At 35.1% G+C, this 22,150-nt stretch overlaps 1 long non-coding RNA gene across 1 annotated transcript in view; it reads left to right on the forward strand.

Annotated features, from left to right (window-relative positions):
• The window catches only part of LOC101927314 (uncharacterized), a 403,332-nt gene that overhangs the window by 189,880 nt on the left and 191,302 nt on the right, over nt 1-22,150 (forward strand). The gene's annotated exons all lie outside the window — the stretch shown is intronic.

The following is a 22,150-nucleotide window of genomic DNA, read 5'->3' on the forward strand; positions in this document are numbered from 1 at the left end:
CTTCTCTGCACCTCCCTCCACCCCCAATTTTGAATTGAGGGGCTTATCCCTAAAATCAGCTGGGAAGATACTCCACCAACGTGGGGGAAGCACATATGGACGGGTAGGCCAGGAAGAACACCACTTTTGTTTGCCTGTTTCTTTTCTTAATGTGGTGATTGCTGTTCCAACCCAGAGCTTCGAGGAAGGAAGGGAAGCACATCCACAAAAAATGATTTAAGTAATTTACCGATATGTATGTCTTTTCTATAACATGTTTTTGCTATCTCTTATGTACCACTAAGGAATCTAAAGAAAAAGGTACAATTTGGGTGTATAATCTGAAATGCGCTATATTCAACTTGCTATTATATTTTTACTGGACAAATACTTTTGTCAGCTTTTAAATATCAAGGATCTGGGAGTGTTCTGATTGGTTCTAAGGTAAACTTTTGTTTTTGAGAAACAACAGAAGAAAAGGCTAGAAGCACAAAGTGAAAAGAATACATTTTATGAAAGAATAAAAAACACTGAAGTACTCCTATAAGATGTAGAAAATAGTCTCAAAAGGGCAGATCTAAGCATTATTGGCCTTAGGTAACAAATGCTTGTGAGGATGTGGTGAAAGGGAACTCTTGTACACTGTTGATGGGAATGTAAATTAGTACAACCACTATGGAGGACAGCTTGGAGCTTCCTCAAAAAACTAAAAATTGAGCTTCCATATGATTCAGCAGTTCCACTGCTGGGTATATACACAAAAGAAATGAAATCAGTTTGAAGAGAATCTGCACTCCCTATGTTTGTTGCAGTACTGGTTACAATAGCTGAGATTTAGAAGCAACCTAAGTGTCCATCAACCAAGGAATGGATACAGAAAATGTGGTACATATACACAATGGAGTACTATTCAGTCATAAAAAGAACGAGATCCAGTCATCATTATGTTAAGTGAAATTAGCAAGTCACTGAAAGACAAACATCTCATGTTCTCCCTTATTTGTGGGATCTTAAAAACAAAAAAATTGAACTCATGGACATAGAGAGTAGAAGGATGGTTAGTAGAGACTGGGAGGGTAGCGGGGACCCAGGGGCAGGTAGAGATGGTTAATGGGTACAAATAAAATAGTAGGAATAGAAGGAATGTAAAATAGTAGGAATAGAGGTAACAGTAGAAATAGAAGGAATGATTAAGACCTACTATTTGCTAGCACAATAGGATGACTATAGTCAATAATAACTTAATTGTACATTTTAAAATAAAGAGTGTAATTGGATTGTTTGTAACTCAGAAGATAGATGTTCAAGGGGATGGATACCCCATTCTCCATGATGTGCTTATTTCACGTTGCATTCCTGTATCAAAACATCTCATGTACCCCAAAATATATAGACCTACTATATATTCACAAATTTAAAAAATAGGAAAAAAATTTGAAATAATACATTTCATTTTTTTTCTTAGGTGACAATTGCCCCACAAGTTAAGGCATTGTCAAATAGTGTTTTTTATGGCTCAAAATCTGTAATGCAACACAGGGAGGGTTTCTAAGCTCTTCAATCAGAATTATCTAGCAAGCTAAATATGAATATGAACCCAGCCCAATATTTTGCTCATTGAATTGACAGTACTAGTTTTGGAATTTCAGTTGTAATTGAACTCTGAAGATAATCATTATCAATTTCTTTTCTCCCCACTCTACCCCCTTTTTCTTAGTATGAAACTATGAAGAAATGGGGATGACAAATGATAATTGTTTAGGACTATTTTTTTAATAGTCAAAAAAATAAATAAAACTATGTACATTTCATTGGATTATGGAAACAGTTACTGTTTAAGTGTTTCTTTTGTGAGTGTCTCTAGTTTACATGTATTCAATTTACAAGTAAATCATTGTGAAAAGAAAGTTGAAAGGATTTAATAAGATTTTGTTCATGTTAACATGTACAAATAATGTGTTTATATGCATATGCAGGGTACAAATGCATATGTTTATATGTGTATAAACACATAAATAAAAACAGGAATGATTCAAGCACAGGAATATGAAAGGCTATTATTGTTTTTGGGTGGTGTTTCTTCTCCAAAGAGGCAAATAGCTACATTCCACTGAACACCTGATTTTTCTTTGTGTCATTGTTGTAAATTAACTTGTTGTGATGATCTACATAAAAACTGATGACAAATTATTTTTGAAAAATGTGGACACATTCATCATGATCAGTTGTGATCAGCTGGAGTGAAGATATTCTTTGAAAATGAGGTGTTTTAAATTAAGATGCTTAAAAAGTACAAATAACAAAAGCCAACTGAGCAAAACCTCCAGCTTTTCAGACTTGGTATGTGAATGTGTCCATTTTTAATGAGGAAAATGAGGTCAGCATCAGTTGGGAACTTTCAGGAGAACACAGTGTACTGTACCAATTAGTGAGTCTTCTCAGGAGGCCGCAGTGACACAATTCTTTATCCTGCTGCCAGGTGGCGCTGTGCAGTAGTAGGTACAGTCTTGCACACTGCATAAAATGTCTGCTCCTGACATGGCAGTTTAATTGTATTACTAACCTGGTAACTGATTCTACTGGAAGTGTGAAAATAAACTTATTTTCCAAAGTTCCAAAATTCCAAATCATCTCTGTATAACTCTAGTTTAATCGGTCTAAATCCTCACTTTCGGTGGCAAGCTTCTGTGCTAGTGAATAAATCTTAAAAGACTAGATAAAAGACTCATGGTTTCCAAAAGCACTGTCTTTCATTATAACTGGTGCTTATGCCTTATAAACCCTCTGCTTTGAATTTAAATAAAGCAGTATTAAAATAAAACTCTTTTGTTGCAATAGAATGCTTTTTACTTTGGAAGAGTTAGACCAGAAGGAATTTAAAGGCAATGAATAGAAGAAATATCTTATAGCATTAGTTTAACATGTGTAAGCACACACTTTAATTTTTTTTAAGAAAAGACTTCTATTTAATTTTTTTTTCAAAAAATCTATTTTTGCCCATTTATTCCCCCAAGGATAGTTACAATCATTCTTAAAATGGTCAACTTTCTGTTTTTTTTTTTCTTTTGACGTGATGTAATTTGGTTCTTTTTCTTTGTTATGATAATGACCTGACTTCAAAATTACTCTTAAATCAATCTTCAGATAGGAAGTTCCCCAGCCCAATGCAGTTGGCATATATTAGATCCAAAATTATTTTAAATGTTTGATTTATTTGATTGCCATTACAAATTTAAATCCCCAAATTGTGTAAATGTATAAGGCAAATGTGCTCTTTGAGTGTGAAACACCTATCAGAAATATGATGTTTTGGGTTTTTAAGAGATGACATTTAAAAAATGTGAACGTTTTTGCAATCTATGTGAAACAGGACAGTTTTTCCTGTTGTCAACCGTATCTTTTCATGTTACAGAGTCATCTAGGCATTACAATGGTTAACAAAACAGGTGAATTTATAGATGTATCTTGATTGTATTGGTATTTATAAAGTCCCACGGTTTATAGAAAAAATTTCCAGAGAGAGGGGGCCATATTTAGCTGTAATTATTAAGTTTTTCATGCAAAATTTATTATGGCACTATGAGGAACTCGGAGTAGTATGAATGTGTGAATCAGTTTCATAGTGTTTGAAAGGAGAAATATTTTTATTGAATGTTAATTGGTGGGGACATATTTCTTAGAGTGGTTCTTATTGAATATCCATAATATGGTGGGGGTAGTTGAAATCAACTACCAGTTGGGCAAGAGTTGTGGCTTCAAGGAGATTTTACTTTAATTGATGACAGAAAATTCTATTTTGAAGGGAGTGTCATAGAAATAAAAGATGCTTATTAAAGAGTTACTGGGAGCAGTATAAATATTTTACAATAAAATGGAAGCTTAGCAAAGTACTGACATATCCCTATAATATGCTACTTTAACATCATGTTTTTAAGAATATATAATGGTATGGATAAATGCTCACCATTTATAATTGCAAAAAAAAGGTAGGCTATAAAAGGGCATATAATCTTTCTCCCTAACAACACACACATACGATAAACCCAATTTCATATTAAATAACAATAAAATATACATTAAAAAGATTTAAATATTTTCATCAAAATGTTAAAAGCAATTTTTTTTCTGGGTAGTAGGATTTTGAATGACTTTTTTTCTTCACATTTTGTGCTCTGGAAAATTTTCTTCACTACATGTATTATTTTTAAGTTATGAAAAATGCATTTTCTTTTTAAAAAGTAACAAAAATTATAGTATTATGTTCAGAAGTGCAAGATTTTGCACTTTTGCAACAGTTTGCAACATGCAAACATTTTATTGTCAATATATTTTATGAAACTGATAAAAAAATCTGGTTCTTTGCAATGCTGATATGTAATCTCCTCATTACCCTGAACCTGGGCTAAATTTTTACTCTGCGATATCTAACGGGCACTATTTTATATATTCATACCTTTTTAAAGATCTTTAGTTGCAATACATTTTGGATGTCTTGATAAGTAAATTTCTTTTATGTAGTTTTAAACACAAGCTTAATTTTGCCTTTCCACTGATTCATAATATATAGGCGAGGAGAGACAAAAAGTGGCATGAATAAATGTGCCTAAGGAAATCCTATTAAATGCTGGTTTCTAGGCTTCATTTTGTACTAATTGGCATCATTTTTCGAGCACTCACTGTGTGCCTGGCATTGTGCTAAGAGCATTTTAAAATACTTTATTTCATTCCCATGTTAACTCATGTTTGAGTTCATATTGTTCATATTGTTATTTCTATTTTATAGGCAAGTAATTGGGTCTTGGAAAGCTAATGGTTTACCAGAGGTCACAGAATCTGAGACTCTTTTTAGACTTAAAAATCTATGCTTTCTAATTGTAAATTAATCAGTTGTTTTACCACATAAATTACTTTCTAGGATTTAATTATTTTCTCATATTTAAAGTATAGGACTTGGATGAGGTTGCGGGGGTAAGAGGGTGGTGCTAAAACTCTTCCTAATAAGAGCTACTTTAAATTTTTCCAAAATTTTATGTTTGTATTTGGGGCTAAACCAAGTGTACTGATTAACAAGTTGTTGAGAGTGAAAAAAGCTTGGAAATTGAACAGATAGGTATACTTTTTACATTGTTAGTAGATAGGAAGTGACTGTCTAAGATCTCTGGATCCTCTAGGGAACTTTCAGACAATACTAGTTAGTGATTCTCATGTACCTTTTACTGGCCAAAATATATGTTAGTTAGCCTTCTGTTTTTTTAAAAAATGTTTGAGGTCTGTTTTAAAGAGTGTCTGTAAGAAGGATATAGCAGTAATAAGAGGGATTAGTTACAAGTAGGTAAGGGCAGAATTATTTATTTGTTACAAAAAGTCCAATAACGTTTAAAGGCAATGATTGTCAGGTTAGAAAACAATTCATCATAGTGAAAAAAGTAATGCAATGAAAGGAGAAATAATAGAATCTCATAATGGGAGAATAGACTCTATATTTGAAAATATTTTGCTGAGAGCACCCTGATACCAGGAACAGATGAAGTGAGTGACCTCACAGGGCTTTTCTAATTTCTGTGATTCCGTAACGGAGCACTCTGAAGGTACCTTGCTTATGACATTTCTGGATTTACATTTTACCACATAATGAACTGCTGAATGATTTTGGTTGAAACAGTTTCCATATTATTGGACGAGTCACCTCATTATTGAATGGAACAACTTCACAAAGATTAAAACTGGAACTTGACTATAATGATTTTCTAAGTTCATTTTATAATCAGTGATGCAATGCTTCATATTCATATTCATAAATATAAAAGGTTTTGGGGACTCTACATGTCAATATCATATGCCATTAAACTTATGCAATTTATTTTTATAAAATACAAAAAATGACCAGAATGATATGGAAACTATAGAGTGCATATTTCCTTTTTATTAGTACTTTTTTCCTCCCATCTCATACAGCGCCCAATTTAGGGCAAAGACAAAACGAAAGTGTATCTTGAATATGCATCACAGGTTCCAAAAATGAAAAGAAATTGGATTTGGATAGCACTTACTCAATAGACAGATATGATACATGGTAAGAAGGTGCACTGTCTGCCCTGTGATAGATTAAACTACTTTGTAGGAAAATTACTGTGAGCCAGTCACCACCACCACCGTGGCTAAATCTTTAATAAAATTCTCTTCCATATTCAGGAGTGAGGTATGAAGTACACAATAAGCAAAGTGAAGTAGAGTGCCATTTATCAAACACCGACCAGGTCTGTAATCTTCTGCTTTATCCTTTCTTTGTACTTTATTTCTTTATTGTTACAAGGAGGGATATTTACCCAGAGCAGTGGGCATGAAGCCCTGATAAACCTCCTCCTTCCTGTCTTTCCCCTTTTCTTACTCCTTTTCGTCAGCCTTGTCAGTATAATTTGTTTCCTTCTAGGTGGTCTTTTGCTTGTTTGGCATTCTTTTTTCTCTTCTTTTCTCTGCCTTTCTTTGAAATGTGCATTCATGATATGGGAAATGACACCAAAACTACAGGAAAATGCAATGGGAATGCTAACAACTACAATGAAGGACTGTCCAGGATGCATTCGGTAATGACTTTGAATGCCTCTTGGCAAGATAGCAGTATTAAAATGTTGTAGACAGCCCCTGGGTGGCAGTGCACAGCCGGTCCTGATGCCATCAAAAGCATTTTCAAAGTAAAGATTTTATATGTGGGTGTATGTGTATATGTGTAATATATATATGTATGTAATATATATGTTATATATGATGTATGTATGTATATGTAATATATGTATGTTTCTATATATGACATGAGTATGTGTTATATGTATATTTGTGTGTGATATATATACATGTATCTATGATGTAGATATGTAATATGTTGTATAAAATATATTTTATTATATATATACACACACAATGCATTTTTACCCAGCTGCTCCCAAACTAAAGAATTTAAAAGTAGCTTTCTATTTGAAAGATACAAATGCTCTATCTAATTTATCTCTTATTTCTTAAGTACAATAATGATAATTTTGCTAAAAATGATTTTCATGTTTAAAAATCATATACTGAAAAGGTCCTAGATATTCTGGCCATGTGATAATGTCTGAAATGTCTTTGAAACCATGCAGATATAGGTACAGATGCAGAAGCGTCTAGAGGGTAGTGAGAATGTGGCTGGAGGTATTTTGTGCCCCTCAATCTGCACACTGCCAGTCTATACAGCAGCCTTGGGGGTAAATTATTTTTAGTACTATTATAACCCTTTTTTATTGTTTGAATAGCAGTTTTATGACAAAACATTTATAGTCAGGCTGTCTTTGTACTTGACTGAAAGAGAGCAATCATGGAGAGTGATAAGGCAACAATGGTAATGATAACTGCATTTATAAAGATGTACAGAATTTAAATGGGTGTGCTAAAATAGACTGGCGGTAGTTCTCTATCTGTACTTGGAGCAGAGATGGGCACAATTCTTGTGGCAGAGATGCTTTTGTTATTTGGGGCAGATGACAGAGAGAGAGAGAGTGTGTGTGTGTGTGTGTCTGCGTGCATGCACACACATGTGCATGCTTTCCTTTGTCATTGTTTCTTCCTTTCAGTTAAATGCACCTGATATGTAGTTGTAGGGTTAGTAATAACAAACAGATAAATATCCTATATTCAGATTGACAATTATCATGATTTTGTGAGATTATGATAAAATGCAACTGCATTTCTGCATAAACTATTCAACTGAAGTATTAGTTCTTTAAAAATTATGATTATTTGCTCTTATCTAGCATTGGTCTATTTCTCTGTCTCTTGAGAATCTACCTCTCATGAAAAATTGATAATTTTCTCTGAGAAGGAGAGGAGGATGGAGGGGAGGGTGCTGTATCTCAAAACATAATTCAAGAGTGAGAGTTTATTCTGTCTGCTTGGTACCAATGGTTTTCATATATTTTTACAGTTTCATCAATTTTCTTTATTTCTAATGTTCTGACCATAAGTAAAAGTGAAGCTTCTTCAGGTCCAGTTACATTCCTTTGTTTCTTTTTTAATTTTTAGATATTTTGTAGCATTAACATAATGATATAACATAATAAAAAGGGTTGACATTGTACAATTGCCTTGTGCTCTACATAAAACTAAAACCATACAATGTGGGTTAGAAATAGTATCTTCTCTTCACAAGGTATCCCCAAGGTCTCTTAAAATCAGCCATACATTGCTGAAGTCTATATTTTGTCTTCCTTGGCCCACTCTCCTCTTCAGCAAAGTTAATAACTTCTATCATGAAGGGAAAAAATCAATTTATTTGTGTCCTACCTTGTTTCAAAAAGAAATTAAGGTGACTTACAAAGATACATAAAATAGATTTAAAACTAAGTGAGGGAAATGAAAGCCAAAGGAAAGCCAGAGAAGGAGGGAAGGGTGGAGAAAAGAGTAACTGTGGAACCAAATGCCTATTGTGAACCCCTATGTGCCTGTGAGACTTGGGCTGCAGATTTAGGTTTTAGCTCTCTAGCAGCCAATACAAAGATGGAAACAATTCCAAGATACACAGAGTCAACATCAAGAGAATAAATAGATTTCTCAGGAGATATGCAACTATTTCAGGGTATTCAGGCTTATAGGAAATTTATCTCCTGGGTTGTAATAGAACACTGTGTAATCCCAGGAAATATGTTTCTTAACTATAGCCTATGGTAAACACACGTGTAAGTATAATAAAAACTAGTTGTAGCATCTTGAGAAAGCAAAAGTCAGTGAAAGCAAGTCTAAAGTTTATTCATTCAGTAGTCATCTATTTAATGTGTCCTCTGTATTCTGCAACAGGCAGGAAATGGAACAGTAGAATAGTAGTGAGCAAGAGCCATAGCCTCCTGCCCTCATCAAACTTACAATTTTTTACTGAAACTGACATCGACAAATTAGTTATGTGTGTGATGAAAAATCCTGCAAGTGATGAGAAGGAGAAGACTCAGCTTAGGTCTCGTAGTCTAACCTAATCATCAGGTAGATATCACAAAAACTGGAGCTACATACAATGTAGGCAGCTGTATACAAATGGCACTTCTTTTTTAAAATAAAATTTATTTTAGGTTTGGAGGTACATGTGCAGGTTTGTTACATAGGTAAACTCATGCCATGAGGGGTCGATGTACAGATTATTTCATCACCCAGGTACTAAGCCTGGTACCCATTAGTTATTTTTTCGGCTCCTCTCACTACTCCTACCCTCCGTTCTCAAGTAGGCCCCGGTGTTTGTTGTTCCCTTCTTTGTGTTCATAAGTTCTCATCATTTAGCTTCCACTTATAAGTGAGAACATGTTGTATTTGGTTTTCAGTTCCTTCATTAGTTTGCTAAGGATAATGGCCTCCAGCTCCATCCATGTCCCTGAGAAGGAAATGATCTCATTCTTTTCTGTGGCTGCATGGTATTTCATGGTGTGTATGTACCACGTTTTGTTTATCCAATCTGTCATTGATGGGCATTTAGGTTGATTCCACATATTTGCTATTGTGAATAGTGCTGCAATGAATATTCATATGCATGTGTCTTTATAGTGGAATGATTTATATTCCTCTGCAGATATACCTAGTAGTGGAATTGCTGGGTCTAATGGTGGTTCTGTTTTCAGCAATTTGAGGAATTGCCACACTGCTTTCCACAATGGTTGACCTAATTTATACTCCCACAAACAGTATATAAGTGTTCCCTCCTTTTTTTTTTACAACCTCTCCAGCTTCTGTTATTTTTTGATTTTTTAAATAATAGCCATTCTGACTGATGTAAGATGGTATCTCATTGTGGTTTTTATTTGCATTTCTCTAATGATCAGTGATATTGAGCTTTTTTTCATATGCTTGTTGGCCACATGTGTCTTTTTCAGAAAAGTGTCTGTTCATTCTTTTGCCCACTTTTTAATGGGGTGGTTTGTTTTTTCCTACAAATTTGTTTAAGTTCCTTATAGATGCTGAATAAACAAGCAATGGGGAAAGGGGTCCCTATTTAATAAAATTGTGCTGGGATAACTGGTTAGCCATAAGCAGACGATTGAAACTGGACCCCTTCCTTATACCATATACAAAAATCAACTCAAGATGGATTAAAGACTTAAATGCAAAACCTAAAACTATAAAGACCCTGGAAGGCAACCTAGGCAACACCATCCTGTACATAGGAATGGGGGCAAGGATTTTATGACAAAGACGCCAAAAGCAATTGCAACAAAAGAAATAATTGATCTAATGCGACCTAATTAAACTTAAGAGCTTCTGCACAGCAAAAGAAACTATCAACAGAGTAAACAGAGAACCCACAGAATGAGAGAAACTATTTGCAAACTGTGCATCTGACAAATAGCATTTCTATGAATGCAGCTTTTAATTTGTGTGCGGTAGTGGTGAGTTCAAGATGTACTTCCTGACAAGTCTGAAAAGTTCACTTTTTCTGGGTTGCCAGTTGAGAACAAAGCCACATGCCTCAGGAATCAGTTGAGCTTTTGCTAGAAAGACAAGAAAAATTGAGAGAATTTCATATTTAACCATATTCATTTGCCTACATGAAGGAGAAAAGAAAGAAATGTTTATATTTGCATTTTGGCCGCCTAATTCTCCCATTATGAGTCTCTTATCTTGCAATGTGTTTAGTCTTTTCTTTAGTGTTTATTTGTGGAGTGTAACTCACATACTAACCTATATCTTTAGAATTTTTAAACAGATTTTCTTTCAACAGTCACTGTTAAAACCATGCTTCAGAAAAGAAATTTTTTAGAAGGCATGGTTATCTTCCAGGAAACACATACATCTATTTGAAAAATAGAATTTTATGACATCAAGGAATTTATTTTTCATTAATCATATAATTGGATTGTAAATGCTCTTGTTGTGTTCCTATTTAAGTTGTTATTAATAGTATTGAGCAGTTTCACTTTAAAATATGGAAATACAACATTTCAAGCAATCTATCTTTTTGGTTCCATGTGTCTCCAAGAATGGTCTTGTTTGTTTAGCTTTTAAATTCTTTTTACAGATCCATAATTAGCTCTCTTCAAATGATTTGTTTGTTCCTCTTTTGGAACTGTTTGTGAAAACAGTGGGGAGGGAGGAGAAAGATGTCTAGTAAAATGATGATGAATCCAGTATTATGATAAAAAGACGAAAAAAAAAAACCTCCCAGCAAATTCTGGCTTCGTGGTAAGATACAAAGAACACCTGGTCTTTGGTAACCAGTTTTGGATGATCAGGTCATGTTAACTTATCAGGAAGACAGTTGCTGTTTAGCATGAGATTGTTTACCAACATGGAAGGGATTTGGCAACTTCTCTCAGAAAGTAATTCTCAAGCCTATTTTGATTAGCAACCCTCCTATCCTGCCTTACCTATATATACAGGCCCTGCAGTGATATTGAGCACTCCTCCTCCTTTTTTTCCACATTCTATTGTCTTATTTGCTCCAAAGTAATGGAATAAATAAATAATCTTTATTACGATTAATTTGAATTTAGAGAGTTTAGAAGAGCTCTGTGTGGAATAATGGAACTCATCTCCTACACACTGACATATTAGAGGAACCAGAATATCTTTCTTTAAAGTGGATTTGCCTATGAGACGTGGGGATAGGAGATAAGCAATAGTTTCATCTCTTCTCTGAGTAATCCAGAAATCTCATGATCTTCAAAATATTCCTAAAAAGAAGTCACCGTGCTGTTCTCCATCCATCTCCAGACCCCACCACCATCCCCAGCTTTAAGCTACATGAGAAATACAAAGCATTTGTCCTCCTTTCCTCTCAGAAAAAGAAAAATAAGCCACAGAAATAATAACATTATTTTTTATACTTTTACAGCCTGACTATGGGAGATCCAACTCATTTGACTTTGACTGCTCCTTGAGAAATAACAACAAAAAAGATATTTCATAAAAGATATTTTACCCCTGAGTCATTCTAGTTAATGTCTATTTTCTAATGTATGTCTCTCGGGGTTTAAAAACAGTGATACAGAGGTGCATCCAAAAATTATAGAAATGCCTTTAGACTTGGTAGAGATGGCCATGCATAAAATTAAGCAAAAACCTGAAACTCCTCTTATTGTTGCCTAATGTTATCTATTGCATGTAGCCAGTATTAATTCTTCATGGAGCTCTGGTTTCACAGCATATATAAAACTATGGTTTAAAATGGGTAAGTGGACTTTACAACTACCTGAAGCTTATATCCATTCTTAAAAATGAAGGATGTCTCTATGGCATAATACTGGTTTATTTGAACATTAGAGATTCCAGTTTAAACTTAAGCATAATTAGTTATACTATAACACTAAGCAAGTTTTCTTCTAGTTGGCAGGTTACTTTCAGATACATAATGACAAAAATAGATTTGTTTCTTTATGTCCCTTTATTTCTTCCTTAGCTTCCCTAACAAAAGCTTTTTGGCAAGACAGAATCCAATAGGACATATTTCCTTTTAGACCTCATTGAGAAAGACTTAAGTGTTAACCACATTAGGGCATTGAGAAATAATACACATTAGGTATAAGAAGGGGAAAAATCAAATAACAAGAATAAAGAAAGATGAACTAAAGAAAGTGATAAAGAGGGAAGAGAAACAGGAAAGTGCTCTCAATCTAATTAAAAAGCAAAAGCTTCAATACAGCATTGTATTTCAAAGCAGATACATTTCTTCATGGACATATATTTTAATTTTTGATAAAGGAGATGATGTTAAAAACTCTAAAGACTTTTTTGTCAGGTAAGAAATGTTGCCCTACAAAATGGGATTTAGTAACTAACTTTTGACTCAAAATAAGATGTTCACAAAATAAGAAATGATTGGAAATAGCCTCACTCTAAGGGGGAAAATCTGCCTGTTTATCTATTTTGAGAAGTAGCAGTAGTTGTTACATTTCAGACGTTCTTTCCTAAAGAATATAATTGTAAAGATGTTGCAGATAAGAGATTTTTATCTCTTCAAGTTTATCTATGCAACTTGTCTGCAACATCTTTACTATGATAAAAATCTCCCCCTCTTCTCACCGTTTTTTTTTTTTTTTTTGAGGATAAAAGTTTTATCTTGTGGCCAGAAAGACAGTTCTTTTATGTCCAACTTAGTTGATAACCAAAAACAGTGTTTTAAGCTCAGTAGGGTCAATTCCATAAAGGGATATGGAATTACCAAGTAGCAGGTACTTATGGATATTAAGTACATCAGTTTCTCTTTTCCATCTCTGTCTTTTCTTTGTTACAATGATGTCTGCATGCCCTTTTTATGTACTATTGTGATATGATGTTGGCTCCCAAGAGATGATGCTATAATAGGCAACATGGCAGCATGCAGTGTGCTTTCCAGGAATACCCTGTGTTTACATCTCTAAATGCTACATTGAAATTGTAATCCCAATAGTTCTGTGAGATTAATTTGTCTACTGTGTACAATACATTAGCAACATCAATTCTGGGTAGCTGTCTGGTAGGGATTGTTAATGACCGTACTCAGCTGTGGCTCTCAAAAAGTCACAATATTTAGCAAAGATTTTACAGAGTGAATTCTTCACCTTCCTGCTAACTATGATGGTTAGGTAGAAGTGATAGTGTTATGGGAGGATAGGTAAAAGTTTAATAATACACTTTCACTTATATCTAATCCAAATAGAATTATAATAACAGAATCTTAGCGTTGACGGCATCCTTAATGGTCATTGATTCTCACCCTCATTTTATAGGAATGAAGAAATAAGGCTTAAAATGCAGTTCTGAAGGCCCCATGTTATTGGAAGAATAAATATCATGAATCAGATCTTAAAAACTAAATTTGCTGCCTTTTCCTGGCTTTGGGGTTTTTAGTGATATGATTTCCCCTCTACTAATATATTACTTTATTGAGTTTAGGTTGAATAAAAGCATAAAGGTCATAGTTCTCTTATGCACATATTAATTCCTTGACCACTTGCATAATTAACTTTTTGAATATTTTTGGATCATGCTTAACATTTTCTCAGGAGGAATTTCTTAAAATTGCACTTTTTATTACTTTTGTCTGTTTTAGATTTATAGAATTGTAGAAATCAAATGAATCTGTAAAAGATCACCCAGTGCAAACTTCTTACTTTACAAATGAGGAAACTGAGGACCAGAGACTTTTTTTGTCATTTGTACCAGACCCACGGTCAATAACTGAGTGGAGATGAAAGTGCCAGGGTTCTGTGACTCAGTCCATTGCCCTTTATAATCTTCTGCATTGTATTTTTTTCTACTTATATTCTATAAAAAATTAAATTTTGAAATATTTCAAGCATACAGAGAAGTATTAGTGGGATCCTTGCACTGTAATCCTTAAAATCATAATGTTTTGCTCTGTTTCCTTCCAGACATTTTGTATCTTTATTTTAAAGAATGAACCAGACACGGTTAAGCTGCTTGTGTTTTTCTGTCCCTCATTTCTACTCCTTTTATTTTAATACGTATTTTTTTTTCAACTTTTGGTAAGAAAAATTGTAAACATGGAAAAGCTGAAAAATCTTACAGTGATGATTGTATAAACTACTATCTGGATTCTGCTATTAACATTTTACTATATTGCTTTGTTGCATATCTATTCATCTAGTTATTCCTACATTCCTCAATATATCTATTTTTGGTTGCATTTCCAATGAAAGTGCAGATATTAATACACTTTCCCCTGAACACTTAGCATGCATATCACAAAGGAGTATTCAATATTTTTTACATTTTTTCTTTTGATGTAAAATTTGCATGCAATGAAATATACTTATAAAAAGTGTACTTTCATCAAGTTTTGACAGTTCCATCTACCTGTGTAACCACCACCGTGACTTTGCTACAGAATACTACCATCTCCCCAGAAAATTCTCTCATGATCCTTCTCAGTCAATTCTTGCCCCAAACCACCCAGAAATAACCACATTTTTTTTTTTTTGAGATGAAGTCTCACTATGTCACTCAGGCTGGAGTGCAGTGACGTGATCTCAGCTCACTGTAACCTCTGTCTCCCGGGTTCAAGTGATTCTTCTGCCTCAGCCTTCCCAGTAGCTGGGATTACAGATGCACACCACCACAACTGGCTTTTTTTTTTTTTTTTTTTTTTTTTTTTGTATTTTTAGTAGAGAGGGGGTTTGCTATGTTGGCCAGGCTGGTCCCAAACTCCTGACCTCAAGTGATCTGCCGGCCTTGGCCTCCCCAAGTGCTGGGATTACAGACATGAGCCACTGCACCCGGCCCCACTGTTTTGATATTTTTTACCACTAGTTAGTTTTTCCTGTTCTAGAGCTGAATATAAATTGAATCAAACAGTATGTTCTGTTTTGTGTGAAGCTTCTTTCCCTCAGCACAATGTTTTTGAGATGTATCCATGCTATTGGATATTATCAATAGTTAGTTATTTTTTATTGCCAGGTATTATTCCATTGTATGAATGAATCTTGGTTTGTTTATCCAGTTCTCTGTTGACAGAATGTTGGCTTTCTAGTTTTGCTCTATTATAAATAAAGCTGCTATGATAGACAATCTAGCAATGCTATAATTACTGTTTCAATTTCTTTTTCCATATATTTAAACTATCCATGTCTTTATATTTAAAATCCATCTTATGCAAATAACATAGAGTCTTGCTTTTTTAATGTCTGATGATCTCTACTTTTAAATTGGAATTATTAATCCACTTATTGTTAATGTAATTATTAATATTTTTTTATTTAGGTCTATTATGTAAAAATTTTATTTTTGCTTTTTCTTTCTCTGTTTTTCATTTCTTTTTTTCTCCTTTGCTGTCTTATTCTAGATTTCACAAATATGTTTAGAATTTTTAGAATTATGTTTTATACTTGGCTTTTTGGCTATGCTCTTTTGTGTTATATGTATTTTAGTGGTTACTACAGGTGTTACAATATACAATCATAATTTTCCACACTTTAATTAGTGTTAATTTTTTTAAATCAAAGTAAAATGTATTAGGTTGGTGCAAAAGTGATTGTTGTTTTGCCATTGGTTTTGCACCAACATAATAGAAATGTTTCAACTATATAGGCCCCTTTACCAATTCCCACCTTCTTTTATTCTGTAATTTTCGTATGTCATTTATCTGCATATGTTATAAACCCTACAGTTTAAACACAGATTTAAACAATATGTGATAAATAAATTAAAACGAAAAAGTAGTCTTTTGTATTTACCCAGATATTTATCATTTTCCTCATTCCTTCCTAAAGATCCAAGTTTCTATCTAGTATTATTTTCCTTCAGCCTGAAGAACTTTCTTTAGCATTTCTGGCAATGTAGGTCTTTCTAGTAATAAATACTCCTAGTCTTCTCTTATCTAAAAGTGTTTTTATTTTGCCTGTATTTTTGAAGGATTTTTTTTCTGCATATAAAAGTTCAGTTTGACAGTTTTTTTTTTTCTTTATGCACTTTAAATATGTTCTACTTTCTTAGGCAGTTTTTGTTTCTGATGAAACACGGCAGTTATTTGAATTCTGTATCCAATGTGTTGTTTCTTCTGTTTTTAAGAATTTATCTTTGTATTTGGTTCCCACCAGTTTGACTATGTATGCCTATGCATTATTAATTTCATATTTATTCTGTTTGGTATGTTGAAATAATTGAATTTGAATATTTATGTTTTTCACAAATTTAGGAAGTTTTTGGCCAATATTTTTTCAAATATATTATCTCTACCATTCCCTCTTCTCTTTCTGGGACTCCACATAACCCTTGTGTTAGTCAGTTTTGCATTGCTATAAAGAAATATCTGAGACTGGATAATTTATTTTAAAAAGAGGTTTATTGGAATCATGGTTTTGTAGGCTGTGCACAAAGCATAGTGCTGGCATCTGCTTCTGGTTAGGGTCTCAGGAAGCTTACAATCATTGCAGAAGGTGAAGGGGAGCTGGCATATCATGTGATGAGAGAGGGAGCAAGAGAAAATGGGGTAGGTGCCTGGCTCTTAAACAACCAGATCTCACATAAGCTTATAGAGTGAGAACTCTACCATGAGGAAAGCACCAAGCAATTCATGATTGATCTGACTCCATGACCCAAACACCTCCCAATAGGCCCACCTCCAACACTGGAGGTCACATTTCAATATGAGATTTGGAGGAGACATAACATCCAAACCATACCGTCCCAGTTAGACATTTTGTTAGTATTCCACAGGTCCCTGAAGTGTTGTTCCATCTGTTTTCAATCTTTTTTCCCTCTTTCTTCTTCATTTGGATAGTTTCTATTGTCTTATCTGCAGGTTCACTCTTTCCACTGACATCTCTACTCTTCTTATAAGCCTATCTATTAACTTTTTTTTATTTGTTTGTTTTTGAGATGGAGTGTCGCTCTGTTGCCCAGGCTGGAGTGCAGTGGCGTGATCTTGGCTCCCTGCAACCTCCACCTCCCAGGTTCAAGTGATTCTCCTGCCTCAGCCTCCCAAGTAGCTGGGACTACAGGCATGTGACACCATGCCCAGCTTTATTATTTATTTATTTATTCATTTTTTTATTTTTGTATTTTTAGTAGAGATGGGGTTTCACCATATTGGCCAGGCTGCTCTTGAACTCCTGATCTCGTCATCTGCCCGCCTCGGACTCCCAAAGTGCTGAGATTACAGGTGTGAGCCACTGTGCCCAGCCTCTAGTAACATTTTAAAATCAGATTTTGTGCTTTTCAGTTTTAAATTTTCAATTTTAAAAGTATAATTTCTTGAGTGATGTCACCCAGATGGCAGAGTAGGGGATACTAGCCTTCATACCCCCACACAAAACCAAATATAGACAGCTATTCACAAACAGAAATAGCCCAAAGAGGCTCAAGTTCACATTAAAAGATCTGAGGCAATAGAGTGGAACAAATAAACAAACAACAACAAAGGAGAATATCCACATAGAAAGTATTGTTGATGAGACTGGCATACCTGAGATACCAGGAAACAGCTAGGAGCAAAGAATAAAAATGAGACTGGCATACCTGAGATACCAGGAAACAGCTAGGAGCAAAGAATAAAAATGAGACTGGCATACCTGAGATACCAGGAAACAGCTAGGAGCAAAGAATAGAAAAGCAGATTATCACTATTAGCTACAGGGTGGGAACCACCATGGTCCCCATCAGCCTACTCCACTAAGAACACAAGGATGTCTTGCCACTCAGGTAACCAAGAGCTATTCCTACTGGGAACCCCCAAAAGGGAGATGATGGTTGCACATCCCTTTCCTGCCCAAGAAGTGGCCACTGTTGAGCTGCTTTGGGAAAGGAGTCACTGCCTCTCTCATCCCATGTGTGCTTTGATGCTAGACCATGGCTGTTCTGCAAGTGCTCACACTCCAGACCAGGGTTCTGCAGCTACACTGAATCCACTCACAGCTTAGACACTGGGACCATTGTCATATTGAGCTATTTCACCCTCTACACCCTAGAGCCAAGCCCTGATGCACCTGACCATGTCCTGGGTGCCAGCCTAGCTACTACAGAGAGCTAGACCCTGCCTTGACCCTGGAGTTGCACTAATTGTGCACACATCTATGTGCATACATTTTGACTACCTGGCTACTTCATAAGCATCTGTGCTTCAGCTACGGTTGCCAAGGCAGCAATACAGGTGCCTTAGCCTCAGGTACTGACTCAGCTGCCATAGAGAGCTAGACCTCACCCTAACCCTGGAGCCACTGTAACTTTGTTCATATATGTGCTTCCATTCTTGGCTTTCCAGGCTGCTTCACAAGCATCTGTACCTTACATTCAGTTACCAATGTGGCAGTGGAGATGCCTGTTCCCTGGTTATCAATGCCATTACTTGCTCAATCCCAGAGTCATAATTCCTCCATTCATGCCTGAGCTTCAGACCTCAGCTCTGTGGCTCTTGCAGGGGTGCCATTCATAAGACACCAGTTCCACCGTGACTGCTAGCAAGCTTATGATCCAGGCATAGTACCAAGAGGGATCCCCTGACCACAACTTCCCTGGTGAGAGAAAAAGAAATTGTGATGACCTTAGCAGCCATCACCACCAAAGACCCCAATAGCACTTGCTATCACTGCAAATATCCACATATTGGCTGCTGAGGATCCCTGCAATATTTATCAACACTGACTTCAGCTGACAGAGCTGCACAGAGACTACACAGCTGATACCCACACTGGTACCAGAACTGCTGCACTCCACCCAGCAAGTGCCCTCATACTCCCCAAAGGGGAAGGTCTCTCCATAGGAGAGCTAGCCTGTAAAGACTGCAAGTGGTTACTGCTCTATCAAATGCACAGACATCAATATAAAGCAGCAAGAAACATGAAAAACCAAAAAGATATAGCATTGCCAAAAGAACACAATAATCTCCCAGTAGTTAACCACAAAGAAATGGAGATATATGAAATGGGTGAGGAAGAATTCAAAATAGTTCTTTTAAGGAAGCTCAGTGAACTACAAGAAAATACAGAGAAACAATTCAGTGAAATTAGGGAAACAATAAATGATCAAATGAGAAATTTAACAGAGAGATTAAAGTTATTTTAAAAAAGGAACTCAAGAGCTTAAAAATACAATGAATAAAGTAAAAAAATGCAATAGAGAGCATCAGCAGCAGACTCAATCAAGCAGGAGAAATATTCTGTGAACTCAAAGGCCAGATATTTGAAGATATATAATCAGAGGAGAGAAAAGAAGATCAAAAAGAATGAAGAAAGCTTATGGGATTTATGGGATAGTATGAAAATAGCAAACATTTGAGTTTTAAAAGTTAATGAAAGAGAAGAAAAAGATAAATGGATACAGCTTAAAGAAGGAATAGGTGAAAACTTTTTAGATTTTGGGAAAGATATATATATATATGTGTCTTTCAAATGTGTATATATATGTGTATATATATGTATATATATATGTGTGTGTGTGTGTATGTATATATGTATATATACATACACACACATTTGACCTTCCTGTACCTGGAAATAGATGTATCTATATCTATATGTATATAGATATATAGGCATATCTCTTTCCTGTACCTGGAAATAAATCCTGTACCTGGAAATAGACATCTATTTATCTATATATCTATTACCAGGTACTGGAAGGTCAAATGTCTCCAGGCAGACTCAACCCCAAAAAGACTACATCAAGACATATTATATAACAAAATTGTCAAATATGAAAAGGAGAGGATCCTAAAAGCAGCAAAAGAAGAGAAAGCAAGTAACATATAAGGGACTTTCAAGATTTTTAGCAGTGGATTTTATAGGAAAAACTTAACAGATGAGGAGAGAGTGGGATGATACATTCAAAGTGCTAGGAAAAAAAAAACCCTGCTAACCAAATATACTGTGCCTGGAAAAGTTGTCCTTCAGAAATGAAAGAGAGGTAAGGGCTTTCCTAGACAAAGAAAAGCTGAAAGAATTCATTGCCAGCAGATCTGTCTTACAAGAAATGCTTAAAAAATGTTCTTCAGGCCAGGCACGGTGGCTCACGCCTGTAATCCCAGCACTTTGGGAGGCCAAGGCAGGCAGATCACAAGATCAGGAGGTTGAGACCATCCTGGCTAACATGGTGAAACGCCATCTCTACTAAAAATACAAAAAATTAGCTGGGCATGGTGGCACTCGCCTGTAATCCCAGCTACTCGGGGAGCTGAGGCAGGAGAATCGCTTGAACCTGGGAGGTGGACGTTGCAGTGAGCCAAGATTGCGCCACTGCACTGCAGCCTGGGTGACAGAGTGAGACTCCGTCTCAAAAAAAAAAAAAGTTCTTCAAGCTGGAAGAAAAGGACATTAATTGGTAATACAAAAAAAAAAAGTATAAAACTCACTGATAAAAATAAGTCAAATTCAGAATACTCTAGTACTGTATAGTGTGTAAATCACTTATATCTTTGGTGTAAAAGTTAAAAGACAAACTGTTAAAATATTAATAGCTATAATTTGTCAACGGTTACACAATATAAAACGATGTGAATTGTGATATCAAAAACATAAAATGTGTGCATGAAGATGGAGTAAAAGTGTTGTTGTTTTATGTGATCAAAGTTAAGTTGTTATCAGCTTAAAATAGCCTGTTGTAGCTATAAGATGTTTATGTAAGCTTCATGGTAACTGCAAAACAAAAACCTATAGTAGACACATCAAAGATAAAAAGTAAGGAATCAAAGTCTGTCACTAGAGAAAATCTTCTAAACTCAAAAGAAAACAGCAGAGAGGAAGAAAAATAAAAGATCTACAAAGCAACCAGAACAAATTAACAAAATAGCATTAGTAAATCTTTACCCATCAATAATTACCTTGAAGGTAAATGGATTCAATTCTGTAATCAAAAGACATAAAGTGGCTGAGTGAAAACAAAAACAAAAACAAAACAAACAAACAAAGAAACCTCAAGGTCTAACTATATGCTGCCTCCAAAAGACTCACTTCACCAGTAAGGAGACACATAGATTGTGTGAAAGTGAAAGAATGGAAAAACATATCTGATGCAATTGGAAACCAAAAGAGAGCAGAGGCCACTTTACTTACAGCCGATAAAATAGACTGTAAGTCAAAAACTAAAATGAGACAAAAATTTTGTTATATAATGGTAAAGACTTTTCAAAATCGTGCAAAAATCACAAGCATTCTTATACACTAATAACAGACAGAGGGCCAAGTCATGAGTGAACTCCCATTCACAATTGCTTCAAAGAGAATAAAATACCTAGGAATCCAACTTACAAGGGATGTGAAGGACCTCTTCAAGGAGAACTACAAACCACTTCTCAATGAAATAAAAGAGGATACAAACAAATGGAAGAACATTCCATGCTCATGGGTAGGAAGAATCAATATCGTGAAAATGGCCATACTGCCCAAGGTAATTTATAGATTCAATGCCATCCCCATCAAGCTACCAATGACTTTCTTCACAGAATTGGAAAAAACTACTTTAAAGTTCATATGGAACCAAAAAAGAGCCCGCATTGCCAAGTCAATCCTAAACCAAAAGAACAAAGCTGGAGGCATCACGCTACCTGACTTCAAACTATACTACAAAGCTACAGTAACCACAACAGCACGGTACTGGTACCAAAACAGGGATATAGACCAGTGGAACAGAAGAGAGTCCTCAGGAATAATGCTGCATATCTACAACCATCTGATCTTTGACAAACCTGACAAAAACAAGAAATGGGGAAAGGATTCCCTATTTAATAACTGATTGT

Source organism: Homo sapiens, chromosome 6 (genome assembly GCF_000001405.40).
Source record: "Homo sapiens chromosome 6, GRCh38.p14 Primary Assembly".
Lineage (NCBI taxonomy): Eukaryota > Metazoa > Chordata > Mammalia > Primates > Hominidae > Homo > Homo sapiens.